The following is a 25,365-nucleotide window of genomic DNA, read 5'->3' as shown; positions in this document are numbered from 1 at the left end:
CGAACTCCTGGCTGCCAGCTATCCTTCTCCCTCCCAAAGTGCCAGGATTACAGGCATGAGCCACTGCCCCCAGCCCCTTACTTTGCTTTTTGATCATGCAGAGAAGCTAGGCTTATGTTCACACACATTTCCTTAAAATAATGACGAATACTGAGAGGCACTTACTGGCACCACCTCACCACACACGCATATCAGAATGGGACATTTTCAACTAAAGAAATAGGTCTTGTTTTCTTCCATAATTACATATTCACCATAATTTGGTAAGTAGAGAAAAATAGAAGAAAATAAGACTCACCTGTTATTCTACCATACAGCCATACGTACCAGTTACATGTGGTAAATTTGTATCTAATGTTTAAAAATTGAGAATATATTATTTATATATGTATTTTTTATCTCTGGTTTTTCACTGTACCTGCTGTCAATGCAGCCTGTTAGTGACTGCTTTGAATGACCAGCTATATTTGTTTTCCTAAAAGTTATTTCCATTTTTCAGCATTATAAAAAAGGCCAGGATGAACATTCTTGGGCATAAATCTTTGTATATACTCTTAACATTTCCTTTAGAAAAATTTCTAGAAGTGCAACTACAGGGTAAAAGGGTATGAAAAATTTTAAGACGTTTGACATATACAGCCAAATGGCATCCCCAGAAAGACTGCAGCGAACCACACTTCCACCTGCACATGAGCACCTGGAGTTTTCCTCCATCTTTATGTCCAGCACAAGCACACTTGTACTACCCACTGGCCACCTATGCCTCAGGTCCCATAAGCACTTACACTTCAAAGTGTCCCAACCTAGGTGCATCTTGCAATCCCAGTCGCCAGATCTGTTCTCTCCTAAGCCCCTGTCTTAGCAGGCAGCAGTAAGAGAACAGGCATACCCCTTCCAGTGGTTGGAGTCACTTACCTTAAAGGCATACTTCCACTATGCACATTAATATTTTTTAAGTTGATTTTTAGTAGTCCGATGAAACAATTCCATCTAAAGAACTGAGACCATCTCTCTAAAATAGAGCTGCTCTTACTCCTTTGGCTAGTGCACAGGAAATGCTAACCAAGGCTTGTTCTCCAGGAGCCTGTTGAGGGCAAAGGTCCTAAATCTAACTCTGCCTGTTTACTATCAGTGGAGCCTGAGGCACATTACTTACTAATTCTGAGTCTCAACTATAAATGGTAACTGAAAGCAGCTACCTTGAATTATTGAGCATGACATGTTCATGATGTCTGTGGCACATCTAGCATGGTGCCCGGCACAGCACAGGCACCCAATAAATGGCAGCACTTGCTGCTGTGGCCGCTGCAGCTGTCTGCTTTCTTGATCTTTAGCATCTCACAGCATCGCACATCACTGATTCCCTTACCACAATTTCAGCCTCCATCTCTTTGGCCACATTTAACATAGTTGCTTTCTGACAAGAGGACGGAAGATATTAATACCTGAATCTCACACAGATCCTCACACAAACATGTACGTTCCTAAGGGTGGGTTACTTCTAACAAGCCTCTGCAGAAGGTTGGTGCTAGGCATTGGAAGTTCTTACCCAAACCGAACGGACCACACAGGCTCAAAGGGCCAATCAAGTACTTGGCCCCCTTTTCAGTAAAAGAGGCCCAGCAGTGCTTCTTTCCTGAATAGTTAATGATTCACATCAGGTGCTTCGATTAAAAGCAGCCCGGCTGTTCTTGCCACAGCTGATTGGACCAGGAGCAGTCCATCAGCAGAAGGCAGCCATCTGTGCACTGGAAGGATGGGGCCTGCCTCCAATTGCCCCAGGCAAGGACTCTGCCCTACAGTAGACTTTGCCATATTGAAGGTGGTGGTGGATGTGACCCACTGAAAACTGCTTTCTGTAAGGGATATGTGCTTACTGAACAAGCAGTCCTGTGGACCTCTCAAGCTTGCTGTTGCCCCAGGGGAGGCTGGCTTGCCACATCCTATGCTGCATTTCCCAGTTTTGGGAATCTGGGACACCTTGGATTTCCAGGCTGAGATGATCCCAAGCTACTATCTTCAATTCCTGCATCCACACCCATCCTGAGGTCAATCAGAATAGGCTGCTTTTCTTTTTACATAAGTTGATGTTTTTTCAAATTACAAACGTAATACAAGCTTAATTTAACAAATGAAATGGCATAATACAATGATAAATAAAGGCAAAGTTTATTTTTAACTCCTGGTCACTACTCGTCAATGATGTAACCAATAACACCAGCCTTTGTTTCCTTCCACATCTATCTCCCCACTCAAATACATACATACAAACATATGTACACATATATAGGAGCCTGCTTATTTGTTTTCATGAAATAGAACCTTTGCAGAGAAAAGGGAATGTTTACACACTCTTGGTGGGAGCGTAAATTGGTTCAACCATTGTGGAAGCTAGTGTAGGGATTCTTCAAAAAGCTGACAACAGAATTACCATTTGACCCAGCAATCCCATTACTGGGTATATACCCAAAGGATTATAAATTGTTCTGTCATACAGACACATCCACATGTATGTTCACTGCAGCACTATTCACAATAGCAAAGACGTGGACTCAACCTAAATGACCATCAATGGTAGACTGGATAAAGAAAATGTGGTACGTTTACAGCATAGAATACTATGCAGCCGTAAAAAAAGAACAAGATCATGTCCTCTGCAGCAACATGGATGGAGCTGGAGGCCAATATCCTCAGCAAACTAATGCAGGCCAAAAAACAAATACCACATGTTCTCACTTATAAGTGGGAGCTAAATGATAAGAACACACAGACACAAAGGGGAACAACAGACACTGGGGCCTACCTGAGGGTGGTGGGTGGGAGGAGGGAGAGGAGCAGAAAAAATAACTATTGGGTACTAGGCTTAGTATCTGGGTCACAAAATAATCTAGGTAAACTCTGGCAGGAGTATAGCTATATAACCTGCACATGTACTCCTGAACCTAAAATAAATTTTTTAAAAAAGTTAAAAAGCTTATTTTAAAAAGAGAAAGAAAATAGAAATGATTATATACATTATTTTATGACCTTTTTTCATTTAACATTATATCAGGGATCTCTGCACAAAATATGTAAGTGTGCATTGTGGGAGTTCAGTCAGGCTGGTGGGAAAAACTTTAAGATGAAGTTATAGGATATAGACACAAATCTTCTTGGAAGGCTGGAAGGTTTTGCAAAAGTCTCAGGATAGGGTTATGGCTGAAAGCTGCCTAATCCTTACCTTGAGTAAATGGCTTAAAGTAGGTACAAAGGAATGCAGTTTATCTAAATAGCTTGTTTACTCATGTGATCCTAAGACCAACCTTTGATCAACCTCGGGTGCATAACTGCTCTCTACTAGGGGTGTCGGGAACCAGGTCAATTTTCCTATAGTGGTGTTTACTCAAAGCCTTTGTCATTGAATGTGTGCTGAATAAATGCCGGCAGGGCCAGTGAGTCAGGGCCTCGGCTGCAACTCTTTACAGCACTCTCCTTGGAGTCTGTAAGTGGCGCAGATGCTCAGCTGGACTGACAGGCATACTATCTGTGTCAGTGTATGTTATTCATTTGTTGCTGGGTCAGGGTCTGTGAGTTAGATCCCCGCAGTGCATACATGTCTTTTCTAAAAATTCTAACATTCCCTGAGTATATCTATTCTATGCAGTTTTAAGAAACTGACTGGACATATCCCAATCCAGTTGAGACTTGAGGTCTCTTTTCCTCTTACTAAATGTGGCAGACCCAAAGCATTTCATCCTCTCAAACAGCATCTTCCCCTTCTAGGAAACTGTTCTGTGTCCAACTTAATATAGTGTTAGTACGAACTGCCAATCTTAAAAACCCATCCCCCTGGCTAGAGAGAGAGGCAAGTCCCTGAATCTTTCCCCAGACAGCTCTAGGCTTGTACAGAGTAAGGCGGAACGCTGGAGGAGGACAGGGCTCTCTTTTCTCCTTGGTCAGAAGCCATAAGGGCTTCAGGTGGCTCTGCTCCCTAGCTTGTAGAAATGTCTGAGAAAATAAAGCTGGCATGTGGAGAGAAGCAGAAATAGGAAATGGAGAGAGACTGGGGAAATTGATGTACTTCAAGGACCTAGTACCAATACCCAGTGGGCCCAGCTCCTACATTTCCTTTGATTCTGTGAGTTTCAGGATGTGTAAAAACAAAGCCTCCCTTTTTGCTTAAGCTGGTCTAAGCTGGGTTTTTAGTCCGTGGTAGACAAGAATCATGACTAAAACAAACACTGTTTAGGCTACAATTTTCACTTGAATATTGCTTGATCCATAGATGACAAACATTCTTCTGTATTTGCTACTAAGTTCTGCAATTCTTTCTCTTTTTCTTTTTAAATTTCAAGAGCAAAAAAAAAAAAAAAAAGAATCCAATGCTGGGGATATGGGCAGTATTACTAGAAAGTTCTGCAATACTTCAAGGACAACACCTGAGCAGCTTCCAGCTGTGCTTTAAATTCTCCTTGGGCTGTGTTACTGGCAGAATAACGTAACTGTTGCGTAACTGTTCCACAAGAAAGGGGGGAAACTTAATTACCACTTGGTTTCTTTGTCAGAACTGCCAAAATGGCACCGATTCAATGTTTCTGCCTATTAACATTCTGTTAGGTGCCGTCCATATTTTTAAATAAAGGCAATACAGAGACTGTCACAAAAACCAGCCTAGATTTACATAATACACTTATTCATTTCTATTTTTGTTTTCAGATAGAATTAACATGGAAAGATATTCTTAGCTTACATGTTATCTAAGCTGTCCATGAAAATAAAGTTAGAAAAATCTCAAAGTTTCTTAATATTTCAGATTCTTACCAAAAATTAACAAAAAAACAAATGTTTGCCCTAGAGAGAATAACAGAATCAGATTGTGGGAAGGCCGTTTTGCATCTTGAAGTCAGAATTGTTCTTCCCACCATGAGCCAGAGCACTGGAATAAATGTCTCTGTGAGCCAAATTTCCACAAAATTGGAAAGGGTCTCTTTGTTTCTATACCCTGGGTTTCCTAGAGCCCAGTGACCAAGCGCAAAGCTCACTTTTGTTCTATAAGATGATTCACCACTGTCAAGGGGGAAACAAAGTGAAGACCTACAACAGGATTACAAAATACCAAAGCTTGTCCCTTCCCCCACAGAGAGCAGCTTCTATTTTTTGGTCAAGTTGTTATGGCCTATTTACGTGAAATACACTGGGTTAGGTGCTTCCCTTGCCAGCCTTGTACATGTCTCATGCACCGTTCAGATCAAATACCTCTAGATACATGGTACACTTTCTTGCCCTTGATTTCTCTATGGCCAAGATTGTCCATTCACTGGGAAGAACTCCAAACTCTCCTGTTAGGTTTTAGAATTCCAATTCCTTTCTTTCTACCACCATAACTTATTTTAATCCATCCACAGTTGAAAAAGTAACTGGACTGAAATGAACTTACAGCTCACATGTGCTAACTAGGCAATTTCCCTAAAAAAAAATAAAAATAAAAATAAATTATTGGCATCTCTATTTATATGCTTGAGCCCACCTGAACCCTCTCAACTTCCTAGAAGTTAACTTCTTGGACATGAATGCATTCTGCAGCTTCAGAACATTTTTTCCATGTATTTTATTTTTAAAAACATCTACTGAAAATACACTTTGAAATATGTATCATGTCAATTTGGAAAGATAGGAATGTGACATCACAGAGGGTGGCAGAAGACTACTAATGATAATTTTGAAATAATAAATGTAATACTACTCAGAGATGGAATCAAGAAAAAGTACCAGTAGCTATAACTTGGAAATCCACAAAATAAACTTCCAAAGTCTGAAAAACCATCATTTCCACCTGGTTCGTTTAACTAATACTCTATATGTTTAAAGTTGAGTGGGAAGCCAAGGAAATGGGTGAATCTACCTAGCAGTTTGGAAGGGCAGGACATTACCACAATCTCTAGACTGCAGAGACAAAGTGAGAAAGCAGAGTTAACAAAGCCCAAAGGCTGATCTCAGCTGCAGAAGCTCAAACAGGCTGGACTGCCCAGATGGAACTAGATTAGTGAAGACCAAACCAGGGCAGAGAGAGAGAGAGAGAAATTTTCTGGCCTCTCCCTTTCTCCTGTCCTCCAATGTTACCAGGATTTCCTACTGTTCAAAACCAGGAGGGGGCCAGCTTGGGAACCGGACCTGCAGGAGTCAGCCCTTCTGCCGTACAAAAAGCAAGGGATGGATCTAACAGCAAGCTGGTCAAGGACCAGCACAAGAACGCTAGCAGGACTGCATAACCTGCCTTACTTTGAGATCAGAGAGGAGTGGGGGCCAGCTGTTACCATGGAAGACCAGGAGTTACTGATGACAAAAACACAGGGGTCAGAGCCCTGGCCAGGGGGTGAGGCCCGGTAGCCACATGGCCATGGCACACCCAGGTGGGGCCTTCTGCCCACCCCTGCCCTGCTCCAGGGTGAGCCTTGGTGTCTCAGAGTTGGCAGGCAGGATGGATGGCAAGCAAACTAAAAGAAGTAGAAGAAAGAGATGCAGGAGAAAACACAGTTCCATATGACAGACAGAGAAGGCTCTAAAGGCATATAACCTGGAAAATGCCAGAGGTTATTGCCTGGGGACGGGGGGGCCTTATGTAGAAATGGGTGCCCAAAGGGGACTACAGACTTATCTATGTTGTATTTCTTTTTGTTATAGGTGGAATATGGGAATTCATGTACAATTTTAAAATATATTTTTTAAAAGAAGGAATTATTTTAAAGAGGCAAAGATATAGTTGTTCATCCGACACAAGAAGTAAGACTGAGTAGAGTTTGGCGATGGAAGGGAAGGAAGCCCAAGCAGCTGGTCATCTGCCTTCCCAGTAGAGAGGGAAGCAGCGTAACTGTTACTATGAAAGGGCCAACCAGTTCTCTAGGGATTACCAGCTTTCTCTCCCTTTCATCAAAACAAAATTTTATATTTGAAACCAATTCAGCTTCTAATTGAGAGCAACCATGGTTACTGCTTCTCCAAAAACTGCTATTTTCAGAGTGTCATGGTGTCTTTGGAGTATGTTCAACACTTCTTATTTCCAAGAAATGAGAAACACAATATTTAATTTTGTTTAGCAAGTGTAATAACTCACCATTATTACAGATTGGGGATAAAAATCAAGTGAATACTTCAGATTATAAAAACCAAATGACAGTACCTAGGCCCAAAGCAGCAGACCTCCTCTGGGAATGTGGAGGAATGTGACAGGCAGATAAATCTGCCAGTTTCCAGTCAAGGCACTGGACCAGCAGTTCGTTCTCTCCTTCGAAGGAGATCTGAGAGAATATGCCCTGGAAATTCACTATCTACTTTCAGATGCTACAGAGATTTGCAAATTTGAAAACTAAATGCCATGCTATGCACTCTCCGGGCACTTCATAAACACTTGTTGACTGACTGGCAAACTGAAAACTGATGGAACGTACATTATTGTTTACTTGCTAAGAACTTCCCTTGCTTCCTGATATTTGTGGATAATTATATTATGATTATGCAGCTGCCAGACACATAGCCTCAATTTTCTTCCTCCTCCGCAGTGAATAGCAAAAAGGCCCAAGCAGAAAACTCTTCTACTTGGGCAATGCCTGGTGGCTTTTTGCCTGAGACAAATTATTCCAAGCCCAACTCTGTGAGGGGGACTTGGCACCTTGATGCTTTTATCACCCGGCTTCTGGACCAGAAGGTGCTGGGGAGACCAGCCGAGGTGGGAGGTGGGGAATTTTATTTTCCAACCATCTGTGCATACAACATATGAAAACACAACAAAATCACCATATGGAGCTAAGTTTTAAATATGTCATCAGGCATTCTATGAGTTTAAGAAGAAACCGATTGGCAGTACAGCCTTTTCTGATTACTGAAAGAGAATAATTTATCTCTGGCTTCAAATGGCCCCTGCTCAAACATCCAAACCTCAGGACTCTCTTTTTATTGCTACTATTAATTGGGTTACACTTGAAAATTACATATTGTTTTTAGAGGGTTTTCTCAGTGATCATCTCACATACACAAACCTCACAACAAATCCATGATGCGGGTAGGGCAGACACCATCACCGCTTTGACTAACCCCGTTTCCTAATTGATTCATCACCCCCAAACCACCTGCCCCTCTACATACACAGTCCACATCTAATCTGTGTGTGTCTGCTCAGCTGCTTGTGACCTTTAGTTTTCTTCTCATTTCAATGGGATGTATTTTCCAACCTAGAGAACCATGTCCATTTGGCTCTGTGGAGCATCCGATCCCATTCATGTAAGTGCCAAATCTGGGAGAGCACTTACATCAGAACTACCTGAAATGCTTATTTAAATACCAATTCCTGAGCCTCACGCAGGACTATATCGCAACCTGCCTTTTTAGCAAACTCCTCAGGGGATCATTACACACCCTAAAGTTTAAGAATCATGGACACACAGAGAAATTTTTACAGAGCATAAATGGTTGGATGCCAAACTTGACGGCAACAACTTCATGTTCTGAGCAATGTTTCTCAAATTCCACAGGCTCCAATTGAGAGGTCTGCTAGTCTCCCTGATGGTTTCTAAATGTATACTTTTACATCAATAATTTTTAAAAAGATCACCCAAGATAAGAATATTCTGGGTCAACTAGATCACCTTAGGTGGGGGTCATTGGAGCTGTTCACAAACATTTTGATCCTCCTCACCATCCTGGCACATGGTGGGAATATTCTTTACCCTCTTTGAGGTTGGATGTGGCCATGTCAGTGGAAGTGACTTGAGTCCAAGTGGAAGATTTAAGAGCCAGTGGGGATTCACTATACCCCCTTCTCCCAGCCACAGAGATGGGGAGGCACTCACTGAGGTAAGAACAGCCATCATCGAGGTCCTGACTACCTTGAACTGAGCCCTCCTGCTAGGCATGTAGCAAAAGCAAGAAACAAAATTTTGTTGTTTTAAGCCACTGAGATTTGGGGATTGTTTATTATAGCAGCATGGTCTAATTTTTCCTGATTGATGAACCTGATCACCAAGAACTAGCCCATGAATTGGGTGTCTGGGGTTGCCTTTGTATTTATAATCATCTAAATGTCAAGTAATCATCTAGAATGACAGAGTTTAACTTTTAATTCAATATTTACCAAACTTGAGCCCAAGGATTTTGTCACTGAGATATGTGAGTTCTAAAGTTTGAGAAACATTATTCTGGGCTATATATGCACAATGAACACTTAGTCCAGACTTAAACAAAGGAGTTGTATGCTTTTAAAAACATCCATTGAATCAATCAACTCACAAACAGTTGAGGCTTATCAGATTATAAACTCCTTGGGAACAAAGGAGTTGTTATCTTATAGGCTGTTAGGAACAAAGGAGTTGTTAGGTCTTATAGGCTGTAGACCTAAAAACATGTTAGTTACATTTGACCATTAAAAACCTGACATGATGGTTGGGTGTGGTGGCTCATGCCTGTAATCCTAGCCCTTTGGGAGGCCAAGATGGGAGGATTGCTTGAGGCCAGGAGTTCAAGACCAGCCTGATCAACATAGTGAGACCCCATCTTGTATAAAGAAAAAGAAAAAAAAAAAACTTGACATGCTAACACAAAAGAAGTTAGAAAGACCTTCCCTGCCACTGAGAAGCTTATATTACTGGGCAGATAAAACAACATGTGGATGACATATAGACCTCCCTAGTTTGTGGTTCTGACTATAAGTGCTAAATTATTTCATAACAAATGTGAACTGGAGAATTGAGGGATGGATTTATGGTAGAAGTAAGAATTTAAATGGGCTTTGAAAAATAGCAAGGACTGGCCGGACACAGTGGCTCACACCTGTAATCCCAGCACTTTGAGAGGCCGAGGCAGGCTGATCACCTGAGATCAGGAGTTCTAGACCAGCCTGGCCAACATGGTGAAACCCTATCTCTACAAAAATTAGCCGGGTGTGGTGGCGTGTACTTGTAATCCCAGCTACTCGGGAGGCTGAGGCAGGAGAACTGCTTGAACCTGGGAGGCAGAGATAATGCTGTTCTTAGTGTGCCTTAGAACTATTTCATATATCTCCATTCAAGAATAGAGCTGGTGCTCAATGATTACTTACTGACTAAATTAATCAATACATGTGGCAGACCCTGTTTGGCAGGCCCAGATTAGATATTCCTTCCCTGCTTAGAGTGAGGATCGTTAAACTTGAGTCCAAGTTTATTCAATCTCAGGGACCAATCCTGACACTGGGCAGGAAAGATTTTAAAATGACAAGGAAGCTCAACAGACTTTCTTTCACATCACTGACAATGAAACCAAGATTTGTTTCTCTTTTCCCACATCACTTAAAAATGACCAGACAAGTTTTCACCAGATTTGGTGGTTGTATCTGAGATGCTGTGACTTAAATATGAACTATGAAAATTAATAAGAAATTAATTTCAGGAGAACCTAGAGAACACCCTGAAAAGAGGGCTTGCTATCTTAAACACAGCAACTGAAACTGTGAAACAAAAAGACAACCTTAGGTATCTGCTGATCACACAGACTAAGAAACCATCAACCAAATAACAAATAGTGGTTTCAACCATAAGCAAATCAAGCCACAGGATGGATAATATGAATTACAAGATTCATTTATTAAATGGTGACGAATCACCTTCCTAAGCAGCTCTGAGGAATAAGATCAGTATAAATAATAATTACAGCTGTCACTTATTATGGGATTATTATGTGCCAGATACAAGCACTATCTCATCTAATCCTCATAACCCTGTGAGGAATAAAGTATTGTTATCCCTATGTTAAAGATTAAGAAAGTGGGATACAGGGACATTAAATGACTCTGTAGAGTCGCTTGGCTAGAAAGTGGTAGGTTCAAATCTAGGTTGTTCAATTTCTGGGTCTAGCCTGACCTTAGGCTTCAGATATGGTAGGAGGACTCCTTGTCTTTTGGGCCTGAGCTGCCTGCAAGGGTACCAGTTCCTTTGGGCCTGGAGCTCTGCCTTGAGCCTCCTCTGTAACATCTCATCCCATCCAAGGAAATTAGAATCCCACCTACAAGCCCCTCAACCACCTGTTTTGCTAACAGGCTTCCCTGCACCCTATCATAAATGTACAGTTGCTATAAAAGCTTAACTGTCCCAAGGCGGGCGGATCATCTGAGGTCAGGAGTTCGAGACCAGCCTGACCAACATGGTGAAACCCCGTCTCTAATTAAATACAAAAATTAGCTGAGTGTGGTGGTGGGTGCCTGTAATCTCAGCTACTTGGAAGGCTGAGGCAGGAGAATTGCTTGAACCCAGGAGGCAGAGGTTGCAGTGAGCTGAGATCGCACCATTGCACTCCAGCCTGGGCAACAAGAGCGAAGATCCGCCTCAAAAAACAAACAAAAAAAAGCTTAATTGTAGGCAATTTGCCTGCACTCACTAATTGTCCGAAATAAGTTGGCCTAAGTTAAAAAAAATTTAGACAAATCTAATTAAAGAATCACAACTAGATTCTTTATCACAGTGAGATAAAGAATTGTCTTTATCTTTATCTTTAGGCAAAGAGCCAATTCATTCTGTCCCACATCTTTCTTTTTTTTTTTTTTTTTTTGTCTTTGGAGACGGAGTTTCGCTCTTGTTGCCCAGGCTGGAGTGCAATGGCATGATCTTGGCTCACTGCAACCTCTGCCTCCCGGGTTCAAGCAATTCTCCTGCCTCAGCCTCCCGAGTAGCTCAGATTACAAGCACGGGCCACCATGCCTGGCTAATTTTGTATTTTTAGTAGAGATGGGGTTTCTCCATGTTGGTCAGGCTGGTCTTGACCTCCCGACCTCAGGTGATCTGCCCACTTCGGCCTCCCAAAGTGCTGGGATTACAGGCATGAGCCACCATGCCTGGCCTGTCCCACCTCTTTCTAATAAACATAGCAGAAATAATGAAAAACAGTTATCTGGGAAAAATAACATCTGACAAAAACCAGAGAGACAAACACCCTCAGCCATCTTAAAGTGGAACACAAATCTCTGAATTTGGTAGTATAAAGTTATTTAACTCTTCAAGTGACAAAGACATTACAACGTGACCCTCTTTTAGGAATACTTCTTGCAGCCAATGTCAGCTCAGCATAAAATTTCAAACCAGTTATGACAATGGATGTACTTACCTTGCTAAAATAAAATAGAAAGAACTGAGAGGCAGCAGATATCATTTGTATAGGCCCTGACAGGTTCATAGTAGCAATGGCCACTGGGGTTCCAGTAAATGTTTAATTAACAATTGGCTCTCTGGAGGAAAAGGCCATGATTTGTAGGTTTGCTGATTACCATGACGTAAATACTCCCTCAATGGCAGATTTCAAGCTGCCAAGGTGACTAATAAACACAACATTGGGCAGAGATATACATAGTTGGCTCTCAGGTGCTGGTGTGTGCAGGTTCCTGTCCACTGCTGGCAATTGCTAATACTTATTGGTTACATACTGTGTGTTAGGTATCTAAGTGCTTCATAGTCATCCTCTTTGAATCCTTTTAACAGGCCAATGGGGCAGGTACTATTTTATCCCTATTTTATAGATGAGAGAAAACAAGGTGTTGAAGAGGTTAATTAATTAACTACTCAAAGGCCACACAGCTTGTAAGTATTAAGAGCTGGAATTTGAATCCTGGCAGTTTGGTTCAATGGGCCATGCTCTCAGCCCTTCTTGAATACTGCCATATTTCGTAGGTGGATAAAGAAGATATTATGATTATCCAACACCCATCTTAAAGATGATGTGTTGCTAAAGATTGCTAGTAAAGATTAGGCTCTGGGCTAGGTGCGGTAGCTCATATCTATAATCCTAGCACCTTGGGAGGCTGAGGTGGGTGGATTGCTTGAGCCCAGGGGTTCAAGACATGCCTGAACAACATGGTGAAACCCTGTCTCTACAAAAATTACAAAAAATTAGCTGAGCGTGGTGGCACACACCTATAGTCCCAGCTACTTGGGAGACAGAGTCGGAAGTTGAGCCTGGGAGGTCGAGGCTGCAATGAACTGTGATTGCAACCACAGCACTCCAGCCGGGGTGACAAAATGAGACCCTGTCTCAAAAAAATTTTTTTAAAAAGCAGGCGGGGGGTAAAGAGGAATGGCCCACATCAGCCAAGGAAGGGCGTTTGTCCTCCTCTCTCACAATAAATTTCACCTCATTCTTCAAGGCCCATATCAGATTCTTTTTTTTTTAAGATAGTGTCTCACTCTGTTGCCCAGGCTGGAGTGTAGTGACACAATTACAACTCACTGCAGCCTTGACCTCCCAGGTTCATGTGATTCTCCCACCTCAGCCTCCTGAGTAGCTGGGACTACAGGTGTGTGCCACCACACTGAGCTAATTTTTTGTATTTTTTGTGGAGACAGGGTTTTGCTACATTGCTCAGGCTGGTCTCGAACTCCTGGGCTCAAGTAATCCTCCTGCCTGGGCCTCCCAAAGCACTGGAATTACAGGCATGAGCCAGGTGCCCAGACCAGATGTTCCTTCTTTAGTGGCACTTTCCCCAACTCCCCAGAGTTGTTACTCCCCAAATATCTTTTCTTAAAAAAATTATTTTTTTCCATTAGAAAATAAATACATGCTCTGCCGGGCATGGTGGCTCACACCTGTAATCACAGCACTTTGGGAGGCCAAGGTGGGCGGATCACGAGGCCAGGAAATCAAGACCATCCTGGCTAACACAGTGAAACCGTCTCTACTAAAAATACAAAAAATTAGCCAGGCGTGGTGGTGGGCACCTGTAGTCCCAGCTACTCGGGAGGCTGAGGCAGGAGAATGGCGTGAACCCGGGAGGGGGAGGTTGCAGTGAGCCGAGACTGCGTCACTGCACTCCAGCCTGGGCGACAGAGCAAGACTCCGCCTCAAAAAAAAAAGAAAAGAAATACATGCTCAAAGAATATGGAAAATATCAAATAGAACAGAAAGAAATATCTTGCAGTCTCACCTGCCACTCATAGCACTGATGTGTATTTGTACTGTTGACCTCAGTTCGTTATATACAATGATTCTCTACTCATGGGTGAGTATCTCCTGGGAAGATTATCAGTGTTATCCACATTTGTATCTACCTTTCACCCCATTCCCATCTGATCTCCACCCCAGCACAACACCCAACTCATGGCTGCCCCCCAATTAACCTAGATGCTTTATTATAATATCATCTAATCCATAAAAGGAAACACTGAGCTTTTCATGTCCATCTTCAAAGCTGTCCTAATCTTAACTAAAGTTGGTTTTCTTCATTTGTCTTGAACACATATTACTACATGCCAACCCTGCGTGTGGCAGACAAGGGCTGCTCCAGCAGGCACCTGTTCTTACCTGCATCCCTCTCATCTTCTGGAACCGTGCTATGGTGTCGCTGATGGTGTAGACACGCACATGGCCCATGTGCAGCTTACCAGAAGGATAAGGGAACATGGAAAGCACGTAAAATTTTGGCTTCGATTTCTAGGAAAGAACGACAATGAGTATTTATTAAGCATTTTCTGGGAACTCTGCATGTATACATAATATTTTGGCATTTTACACAAAGTAATAATTTAACATTTTAAAAGTTTCCTTTTAAAAAGAGTGTTCCCAGAATGTAAATCAATTAAAATGTCAAAAAGCAAAATTCAAAGCCCTGGTTTAAGCTAAAGAATGTCCAAAATAATGCCAAACAACCTCTAAGTGTTAAGTACCCATATATCTTTTTTTTTTCTCTTTTAAAAACTTATTTTTTGAAAGGAATGAATTAACAGTATTTGCAGTGACCTGGGTGAGATTGGAGACTATTATTCTAAATGAAGTAACTCAGGAATGGAAAACCAAACATCTTATGTTCTCACTGATATGTGGGAGCTAAGCTATGAGGCATAAGAATGATACAATGGACTTTGGGGACTTTGGGGGAAGGGTGGAAAGGGGGGTGAAGGATAAAAGACTACAAATAGAGTACAGCCTATACTGCTCGGGTGAGGGGTGCACCAAAATCTCACAAATCACCACTAAATAACTTACTCATGTAACCAAATACCACCTGTACCCCAAAAACCTATGGAAAAAAAAAAGAAAGAAAGAAAAGCGGTCCCAATGCAGACCCGAAGAGAGGGTTCTTGGATCTCACGCAAGAAAGAATTCAGCGCCAGTCTGTAGAAGAAAGCGAAAGCAAGATTATTAGGAAAGTAAAGGGATAAAAGAATGGCTACTCCATTAAAAAAACAAAACAAAACAAAACAAAACAAAAAAACACTTCTCTTTTAAGACAGCTTCTATCTAGGTCCTTAAAGAACTGTTTGTTTTTCCGAAGGAAGCTCTAACATACATATATCCATATAATTCAAAGAAGCAATAGTTGAATCACATAGATGTAACATCTCTAAAAATGGAGTCTCTTCCTAAATTCTCTATAGCTGCATTCTGACGTAGGTTTAGCAGTAATAACAGGATCCTAAAGTACCAATTTGGGTCCTGAGTTTCCCCATTGTATTGAGAGCCTATCTTTCAACAAAAATGTTGAAATGGGAAGGTAATGAGAAGATCCTTTTAAAAAGGGAGAAGGTTGTTGTTCTCCAGGGATGATAAATAAGCAGCCTCAGACCAGGGTTATATAACTCTCCAGCTTCCAAAGAAGCAGCTTCATCATGAGAAACATAGACAACTGTACATGTATCTGAACAGAAGGAACACAGGCCAATGAGTCCTTATTGGATCACTGACTTCTGGCATCTTAATTCTTCCCCTGGTAAAATGATGAATGTCGTCATGAGTGTGCACATGAATGGATAAGGCAAACAAAGATGGTAGTCCTTGAATTAACTCCTACTGGGGGGACCTACTGTTCATGGGGGGACCTACTGTTCAAGGGCAAGAACTGTGCTTTAGTCACCTCTTTCTCCACGTCTGCCCCCAGTGCCAGCAGGAGTTTCATAAAATGTTGGATAAATGTTCGTTGGCCTTTGTGCTCCAAAAGCCTGATAACTGGCCCCTATGGAGCACTTTTTACCCAGCAAACTTCACAAATCCTACCCAAGTAATAGGAGGGTTCCCCACACCCAAGTTTAAATCATCTCATGACAGGGTCAAGGGTGGAGGGGCTGGAGAGAAAGGAAGAGCAACAGGTAACTGGGTAACTGATTCTGTTTCGTCACTAAGGGTCAGAACTTCTGCTTTTATTTATTTCTGCCTTCTGTTTTTTCTTCCTGGCCTTATTCCCTTGCTAGAACTTTACTCCAGTTCTTTAAGAATTTGCTTCCCCTGAAGTAATGCAAACAAACACGAAACAGAATATTCATAACCCTTCTTTTATGTACATATGTGGGATGGGGTTTTTAAATATTGTTTGCTGAATGTTCGCATGACTGATAATACACATAAACCAAATATAATCAGTAGAGCAGAAGAAACCAGAAATCAGATTCTTGCCAAGGAGTTCGTAAACTTCTTTCAGCAAAGAAGTTAAACAAACCTTTAACGGAACCATTAGCACGTGGCAAAAAGAAACCCACAAAAACTAGAGTAGAACTTTTCTTTGTGCTGCCCATCCTCTAGAAATTACCAAGGAGTGTTAAGCTGCCTGAAGGAAGAGATGGGAAAAAGAGAACAATTAAGAAATCTGGATCATACACAAATTAGAAAATCATCTGGAACTGCTGAAATGACAACTACAATGGATTTATACAAACAGGATGGAAAGCAACACATTGGTCAGACACTTTAATTAGAAACTGCAGATTTATAACTCTTAGGAAAACCACAGAAATCTGAGAGAGGACCTGAGATTCAGGGGTTGGTGGGAACTCAGGAACTTAATAACTGTCCTTAAGAAAGTGAGTGGCAGATAACCTTCTCAGCTTATGAGCAAGTCGTCCAAGGAGGTACAAGACCCCATTCTTTTACTTAGTGCAGAATCAGAAGAAAACTATCCACTCAATTCATGCCTTACTCCTTACAATGAATTAGGCTTATGGCTTATTCTTCAGAAATTTTTAGGAATATGGGAAAATAGCTGTTAAGAGTTCTTTGGGAGCTAGGAAAACAGTAAAATCCTTGATCTAAGCTGTTTCTAGTTTTTCATTTGAAAGTTTTTACATAAAATTATTTTTATTATACTAATGTTTGTTATGTATTTAATTTACCAATCTTGCCCCAAACATTTTCCACCTGTAATTTCTTTACTAGCATCTCTTGTTTTACATTTGTTCAATAAAGATTAAATTAATAGCAAAATCAAATGAATAATTATATACTAGCTAAGCCAAAATCCAAATCTGAGTTCATAAAAGATACATAGAAAAGTATTGTTTTCTAAAGTCTTTAATATTCATGAAGATTTCTGTTTATTACAGAAAAGGTATTCAGCTTATTGCCTGTCCCTGCCTTTTGCTTTTCTGCATGAATTAAGTCATTTTCCTCTGTGACAATGAAATGAGTTCTATCATCTGGGGGTGGAAAAGAGAGAAGGAATGATGGGAGTTTCTGTTATAATTGAGCAAGAATCTGATTGAAAGGGAAATTTTCATAATTATATAAAAGTATAAGAATTTAAGCCTTTAAAAGAGATTAAGATTTAAATGATAGGGAAAGGATGGCTTTTATAAGTGGGTCCTATTATTTTTGTCAGCTTCTGACTTTAGAAGAAAGATGACTTCTGCCTCTTTATAGATCACGCTCTGAAGCTGTGGCTGAGCCTAGAGGGTGACAGAGTAAAAGGAGCACCTCAATAGGAATCCGGAGCCCCAGTTCTGGTCCTAGCTTTGTCACTAGCTGTGAGGCCTTGGGCAAATTCTTTTGCCTTCTGGGATCAGTTTGCTAACTGTAAATCAAAGGTGAGACAAAAGAAGGTTTCTGTGTGGAAAAGCATGAGCTCAGGAATCAAACACACATTTGATTTTGAATCCTGGCTCTGCCATGTCTTGGCAAATTACCTAAACCTTTTTCTGAGCCTCAGTTTTCTTACTCCAAAAATGAGGATAATAATACCTACCCGCTGGGTTGTTTCAGGATTAAATGAGATAATCAATTGAAAGACAGTGCCTGGCACATGGTTAAATGCTCATTAAATGCAAATTATTTTTTAAATGATAAATATGGTGATTTCAAGACATTCCATTTCAAAAAACTTATGTGAGTGGATTTCAAGTGAATCTGATACCAGAGTGAGATCGATTATAAATGCTTCAAAATCCATGAGCATTCCGTCATAGTCTCAGGTCCTGATAGACACACCACGTTCTGATCTTTGTGTATCTTTTATTTATGTACCACTTCAGTTTGTAAAATGCATTTTGTCACACATTTTCTCATTTGATTTTCAAAACAATTCTGTGAGATAAACAATGCAAGGAGCCCAGAATCCAAAACATTAAATGATGTGGCCTGGATCACACAGGTTTCCTGGGGCAGAGCCAGCATTGCAGCCCAGGCTCTGGCTCACTCACTGAGTGCTCACTCTGCTTTGCCATTCCTTGATTCAAACCCTGATAGGGGGCTGCCAGGGGATCACACACAATGCCCCTTATGCTATCTCCCCAATTGCTAAAACAATTTATTTTGATCCATTTGATATTTTAAAAAACTGTATGCTTAAGAAGAATGAGATGTCACAAAATCAGTAAGCTACAACATCAAAACATTTGGAAGTCAATAAATGATTATCTAAACCAAAAGGGAAAAAAAAGCTAATTTTACTGTCCTCACTCAGAATTAAACTGCTCCTTAAGAGTTTGTTTTCAAAATCTATTAAGTTACATTAGTCTGATGATGTTGACACAAGGGCTTTTCACTTCCTAACAAGGTAGAAGTCAAGCTTTCATTGTAAAATTATGTATTACATTCAAACCTTCCCTTTTTTTCATTTCATTTTACTTGTTACACACTACATCTTTTTCAATAGCAATTTTTCTTTCTAACCATTGCCCAAAATCATCTTTCAGTTTAACACAAATAGCTCTCCTCCCCTTACTCATTTTTCATAACCACCAATCTCACAGAAAGAATGAATGTGTTGACCGAATCAGGAGATGGGGAAAAGGCAAGTCTAGAGAGGTGTGGTCTTGTGCAGCTGTACTTATTCAGCTGCTTGCCTTGGGCCTAATCTCTTTATTAAACATAGAGGGTTTGTATTATTTGACTATAACTACTACAAAGAGATGATCAGAATTTAAAACTCCAATCAGATTCAAACATTTCATGTAACAATCACATCTCCCAGCTGTCATTTTGACCAGTATCAAGAGGTAAGGGTTAACACGTTCCAGACTGATTCCCAGCAAGCTGGCCTCCCAGAAAAGGAACAGAGAGCACTCTGTGGAAACTGGCTGCAGCCAAGTATTATGCTTCCACCATTAATTCAGGTAGAGTGCCGAGCTGGTGTACCTGGTGCAGAAGCCAAGGGTCCACTAACTCATGTAGCTGCTACCTCAAGGTTAGACCCTACCCCAGTTCACAACAGTGAAAGGGCTGGTGTGCCCCAAACCATGATGCTAAGGCAGCAGAACAGAGTTGGAGGCTACGATTGCCAGGGAAGGGGCAGTTACTTCTCAGAACATGTAGCCAGCGAGGAGCCCAGGTGCCTCTCCTGGAGTCTCAGATATGACCCTGCCAGATCCCTGTGTGCTGCCCCACCATGCAATGGACCACAAAGGACCCATCATCTGGTAGAGCTCCTATTTTGATGAGCTTCCCCAGTAAATGTTGCTCTAGAACACCTGGTTTGCTGCTGTCTGTCATACACCTCGTGCGCAATATTACTATGTGTGCATCCACCACATTGGAAACTCTTGTAAACACTACCTTTGTATCACCTCATTTATGCCTCCCAATCCATTTACCCCTCCCAATAGTGCAGGTGGGCACTATTATGATCACTCTCCATCTCAGATAAGAGAATTGAAGCACAGAGAAATTCAACAATTTGGTTCAAGGTCACATATTTAATATCTTATTTGAACCAGGTAGTCTAACCCCAGGGTCCAAACCTTCAACCCCTCTTCTCTACCCTCTTAGAATCTCTCAGAATACTCACATCAGCTTCTGAAATTTTGGAGGCCTGTTCTTTTATTCGTTGATGCCACCATTTCTCAACATCCTTTCTTGTCTGCAATGTATACTCTTTTGTCCACTTTCCCGTGGCACTGTAGATGCTTCTGGTACATCCGGGAATTACTCTCCTTTCCCACTTGATGACATCTGGCCCACCATTTAGCTGTCTTTTCAGAAGAGAGGCATAAAAACCCAATCTCTGCCAAACAGAAGCCATTCTTCAGAAGGTGAGAAGGCCCTGAAAAAGAGGGCAGAAAGCACACTATGAGCTGCCTCAAACCCTCCCCAGAGCTTATCTTTCCATTTGGCACAGTCCAGTGTTCTGGCCCTGTGCTTTCCTCTTACTTTTAATAATTTCTTTCCCTGAAAAGAATACTTTAGCAATTCAATTGAGCTAAACACAAACTTTTTAATAGAAAATATAAAGGGTCAGTAACCCCTAACATCAAAGATGCAAAAATCCTGTAGGAAAAAATGGAGACCATCAGCTGGCCAGCTCCTGCGCAACCTCACAAGTTGCATGGAAGGCATGGAGTGCCCTCCCTCCCCTCCCCATGGGCCAGCCCAGGGACTCTCCAGCAGGCTTCACTTCTTATGTCTTCAAGCCTCAGAAGAGCTCAAGCACATGCTGAGTTGGCGTTAGGCTCAAATATCAGAAGGGGTCTAAATACAGGCCTCCCAGGAGGGCCAGAAATTCTGAACTACTATTAGTAATTTTTATACATATTATGAGTTAAATATACCCTGTAGGCTGAACCAGAAAATAACCATTATTTAGAAGACTGTTAATTCATTTAGTTTCTCCTTCATTTACCAAATATTTATTTATTTATTTACTTACTTTTTAGAGACAGGGTCCTGCTCTTTCACTCAGGCTGGAGTGCAGTGGCATAATCATACCTCAGTGTAACCTCTGACTCCTGGGCTCAAGCGATCTACCTGCCTTAGCCTACCAAAGTGCTGGGATTACAGGCGTGAGCCACCACCAAATATTTAATGACTACCACTAGGCCCACACGTTGTTCTAAGTACTGGGAATATAGCAGTAAACACAAACAGAGTCCCTTCTTTCTTTCTCTGTTTTTTTTTCTTTTTTGAGACAGAGTCTCGCTCTATTGCCCAGGCTGAAGTGCAATGGCATGATCTTGGCTCACTGCAACCTCCACCTCCTGGGTTCAAGCAATTCTCCTGCCTCAGCCTCCTGAGTAGCTGGGATTATAGGCATGCACCAACATGCCCGGCTAATTTTCGTATTTTTAGTGGAGATGGGGTTTCACCATGTTGGCCAGGTTGGTGTCGAACTGCTGACCTCATGATCCACCCACCTTGGCCTCCCAAAGTGCTAGGATTATAGGCGTGAGCCACCACACCTGGCCCAGAGTCCCTTCTTTCGTAGCACTTATTACATACTAGCAGGGAAGCAGATAAGAAACAAACAATAAGGGAGGCAGATGAGAAACAAAAATATATAACATGTGGTCACGGTGAGTGCTATTTTTTGAAATACAACTCATAGGTTGGGGCCTACCAGGATATCCAGTTGTGATTCAAAATCCAATTTTAATGTTTCGTTGGCTTCTTCCACAGGTAAATACTGGAAATGACCTCACTGAAGAAGTTTCATGTTTTATTGCTATTCAAAGGGTTGAGGTGAGATTTTTATCAAATATTTAAGATATAAATACTAGACTAAATAGCCTAAACTTTCTCCTTCTGGCATAACAGCATTCAAGAAGTGCTACAGTGAAAAAACAGATGACAACAGATCTTTTCAAAACCAGAGAGAAATAAAGAAACCCGGCACTCTAAGCTGATGTTCTTTGATTCTCTCAAAATTCCACTTCTATCAGGATTTGGCCTGTTTCACAAAGGTACTAGAACACAAATGTTGCCAGGAAGGTCAATATAGGCTTATAACAGTGAGTTTCAAACTCACATAAGACAGCAACATAATGTGGGCATCTTACAAGTTGGTCTGCCAAAGTCATTGACATTATCAGTTCTCACTACATTAAACACCTCTTGCTTCTTCAGGGATAGAATAAAGTGCAGACTTAAAAAAAAAAATCTCTCTTAGGCCACGGGCAATGGTTCACGTCTGTAACACCAGCATTCTGGGAGGCTGAGGCAGGCGGATCACCTGAGGTCAGGAGTTCGAGACCAATCTGGCCAACATGGCAAAACCCCTTCTCTACTAAAAATACAAAAATTAGCTGGGCATGGTGACGTGCATCTGTAATCCTAGCTACTAGGGTGGCTGAGGCAGAGGAATAACTTGAACCTGGGAGGCAGAGGTTGCAGTGAGCGCCACTGCACTCCAGAGCCTGGGCGACAAAACAAGACTCCATCTCAAAAAAAAAAAAAAAAAGATAAAAAAGAAATCTCTCTATTAGTTGGGCTTGGCTATTTTAAAGTACACAGATCTGATTACAGGCATTTGAACTATATGAAATTGGTTAAATGTTAGCAATTCCATATGACTGACCTAATATACATACGCTTTGTACACTTAAGGCAATTGCATATATTTTTAGGGCTTAGGTTGCTATAATTAGAACTCCCTAATTATATAGAAGTCACAGATTTTATGGTTCTCTTGCCAAGTCAATACTTTCATACCTTTGCAAGCCAAAGAACGCCTGTTTAGCAGAGGACACATAGATGGATGCTTGCCACTTCTCTCCTAGACAGCATCCCCAAAGAACACCTAAGGAGTGTTCTGGGCTATCCTCTCAAATAGAAACAAAAGGGCACAACAAAATTATAAAATACAGTGACTTGAACTGCTCTGCCTACACTGTCTGTCTACACAACAAGAATAAGCTTTCTAAAAATGTTCACATAATACCTGGCTTACTAATGACCTCTGCTTTGCTTAAATAAACCAGTGAACTAGAGAATCCTGAAACAGATCTGGGTATTTAAAAGCATTTAAAGTTCATTTTTTTAAAAAAGCAGGAGCAGATTAGATAGTAATAGATTATTCAACAAATAAGAGAAAAACTTAAAATTAGAGCCCCACCTCAAATCATAAGCCGGAGTAAATCCCAGATAGATTAAATAATGTTTTTTATCTGTAGGTCTGGATCTGAAAAGCAGAAAAATAAAATAAAATAAATAAATTAGAATATTTTTAAAGTGTCATAAAAAAATAAAAACACAGATGGATTTTGTTTTTTTTTTTTTTGAGTCAGAGTGTCGCACTGTCGCAATGAGATCGTGCAATGGCGCAATCTCGGCTCACTGCAACCTCCGCCTCCCGGGTTCAAGAGATTCTCCTTCCTCAGCCTCTCGAGTAGCTGGGATTACAGGCGCCCGCCACCACACCCGGCTAATTTTTTGTATTTTTAGTAGAGACGGCGTTTCACTGTGTTGGCCAGGCTGGTCTCTAACTCCTGACCTCGTGATCACTCTGCCTTGGCCTCCCAAAGTGCTGGGATTACAGGCGTGAACCACCGCATCTGGACCACAGATGAATATTTAATAAATCTTAAGAGGGTGCAGGATGTTCTGTCCTGAGTATAAAAACAATGAAAAAATTCACAAAGGAAAATGTTAATAAATCTGATGCTAAAAAATCTGTATATCAAAACCATTAAGAACAGAATTGGAAAGCAAGCAATTAGCTACGAGAAAATGTTCAGCAAAACTGCAAAAACAAAAGGTTTCTACTCTTGAGCTCATGTGTGTGAAAAGAAACACTAAAAATCGAATTTTAAAAATGGGCAAAGGGCCAGGTGCGGTGGCTCACGCCTGTAATCCCAGCATTTTGGGAGGCCGAGGCGGGTGGATCACAAGGTCAGGAGATCGAGACCACGGTGAAACCACGTCTCTACTAAAAGTACAAAAAATTAGCTGGGCGTGGTGGCGGGCGCCTGTAGTCCCAGCTACTAGAGAGGCTGAGGCAGGAGAAAGGCGTGAACCCGGGAGGCGGAGCTTGCAGTGAGCTGAGATCACGCCACTGCACTCCAGCCTGGGTGACAGAGCGAGACTCCGTCTCAAAAATAAATAAATAAATAAATAAATAAATAAATAATAAAAATAAAAATGGGCAAAGAAGGCCCGGTCTGGTGGCTCACGCCTGTAATCCCAGCACTTTCGGAGGCTGAGGCGGGCAGATCACGAGGTCAGGAGATTGAGACCATCCTGGCTAACACGGTGAAACCCTGTCTCTACTAAATATACAAAAAATTAGCCAGGCGTGGTGGCGGGCGCCTGTAGTCCCAGCTACTCGGAAGGCTGAGGCAGGAGAATGGCGTGAACCCAGGAGGCGGAGCTTGCAGTGAGCAGAGGCTGCACCACTGCACTCCAGCCTGGGCGACGGGGCAAGACTCCGTCTCAAAAAAAATAAATAAATAAAAATAAAAATAAAAATGGGCAAAGGAAAACAGCAAAGATGACATATAAATGGTTAATAAAGAGGACATATAGTTAATATGAAAAAGATCAACTTTACAACTAATCAAATAAATGCAAATTAAAACAATGAAAGTTTAGTTTCCAGATTGGCAAATGAAAAGAAATATGCATTTTTTAAACAACTGCTGGTGGGAATGTAAACTGATTCCACCTTTTTTTGGGGGGTGGGGGGCAATCTGATAACCTGTGTTAGGACCTTTTTAAGAATAGTTCATATCCTTTGAAGTTAGGAGTCCCTAAGACCCCACTCAGGTTCTAATTCCATAAGGGGACTCATAAGAATCAACATATAGTCAGTATTCATGGCTATGATTCATTACACAACTTCCTAGGGTTCAGCCCTATTCCTTTCCCTTACTTCCCAGGCCTTGTTCTTGGCCACTCCAAGTACCCCTCCACCAAAGCCCTGATGGACTGCCTCTTATTGACAGCGAGGAGCAGCCATTTTATTAGACGGCTGTGAGAATAAGACGATGTGAAAGGTGTGGCTCATGTCTTATATTTATGATCAACTTGGCCCTTTACTTCCTTAGCTCGGGCTCCTCCAGTTCCGTCCTTAGATGCTCAGAATCTTCTTCTAAGATAAGAAGACTCTTCTCTTCTTCCACAACCTTCCAAAGAATCAATTCCCACTACTCCACCCCTCTTTAGAATCAACCCTGACCTCAATCTCAGTTGGAGCTTAAGGTGAAGGTTTTTGAGAATAGGAAGGGCCCTGCACAGGCAGGAGGGAGTGCCCTGGCCGCCCTCTAGGCCGTGGTCCCAAGACCGCCTTCCTTCTTGTGCATCATGCAGTCACAGGGGCTTCCCTTTCACGGAAGAGGCGCTGGGACGCAGAGCTGACGGGCTGCTGAATGCTGGAGCCGTCAGAGCCCACAGTGATGCCTTGAGAAGGGAGTCATTCATTTCCCTGCGTGTGTGGGATGATCTAAGTTTTGACCCGTGAGACAAAAC

At 41.6% G+C, this 25,365-nt stretch overlaps 1 protein-coding gene across 6 annotated transcripts in view, besides 2 other annotated features; it reads right to left on the bottom strand.

The window, feature by feature from the left end:
* The window catches only part of LARS2 (leucyl-tRNA synthetase 2, mitochondrial), a 160,832-nt gene that overhangs the window by 134,745 nt on the left and 722 nt on the right, over window positions 1-25,365 (bottom strand). For 3 of the 6 annotated variants that reach the window (NM_015340.4, XM_017006042.2, XM_011533554.3), the window contains exons 2-4: window positions 23,015-23,080; window positions 19,976-20,230; window positions 14,290-14,418 (exon numbers count right to left, since the gene is read on the bottom strand). In NM_015340.4, coding sequence (NP_056155.1) covers window positions 14,290-14,418; window positions 19,976-20,209 — 363 coding nt within the window. In that variant the 5' untranslated portion in view covers window positions 20,210-20,230; window positions 23,015-23,080. The remainder of the gene's footprint in view (window positions 1-14,289; window positions 14,419-19,975; window positions 20,231-23,014; window positions 23,081-25,365) is intronic. The other 3 variants (NM_001368263.1, XM_047447830.1, XM_047447829.1) reach the window with 1 other exon arrangement.
* Window positions 20,667-21,866: an enhancer, noted in NCBI's record as "MED14-independent group 3 enhancer chr3:45434289-45435488 (GRCh37/hg19 assembly coordinates)". NCBI's record gives its function as "activates an origin of replication core promoter dependent on BRD2, BRD4, P300/CBP and CDK7 cofactors, and independent of MED14, by STARR-seq in HCT116 cells {active_cell/tissue: HCT116}" and the evidence as "EXISTENCE:reporter gene assay evidence [ECO:0000049][PMID:35650434]".
* Window positions 24,685-25,260: an enhancer, noted in NCBI's record as "H3K27ac-H3K4me1 hESC enhancer chr3:45430895-45431470 (GRCh37/hg19 assembly coordinates)". NCBI's record gives its function as "activates a minimal SCP1, AML or CMV promoter by ChIP-STARR-seq in primed H9 embryonic stem cells {active_cell/tissue: H9 hESC(primed)}" and the evidence as "EXISTENCE:reporter gene assay evidence [ECO:0000049][PMID:30033119]".

The sequence above is a fragment of the Homo sapiens genome, chromosome 3 (genome assembly GCF_000001405.40).
Source record: "Homo sapiens chromosome 3, GRCh38.p14 Primary Assembly".
Classification (NCBI taxonomy): Eukaryota; Metazoa; Chordata; class Mammalia; order Primates; family Hominidae; genus Homo; species Homo sapiens.
Note: the sequence above shows the minus strand (reverse complement) of the source record. Positions and strands in the feature narration are given on the sequence as shown.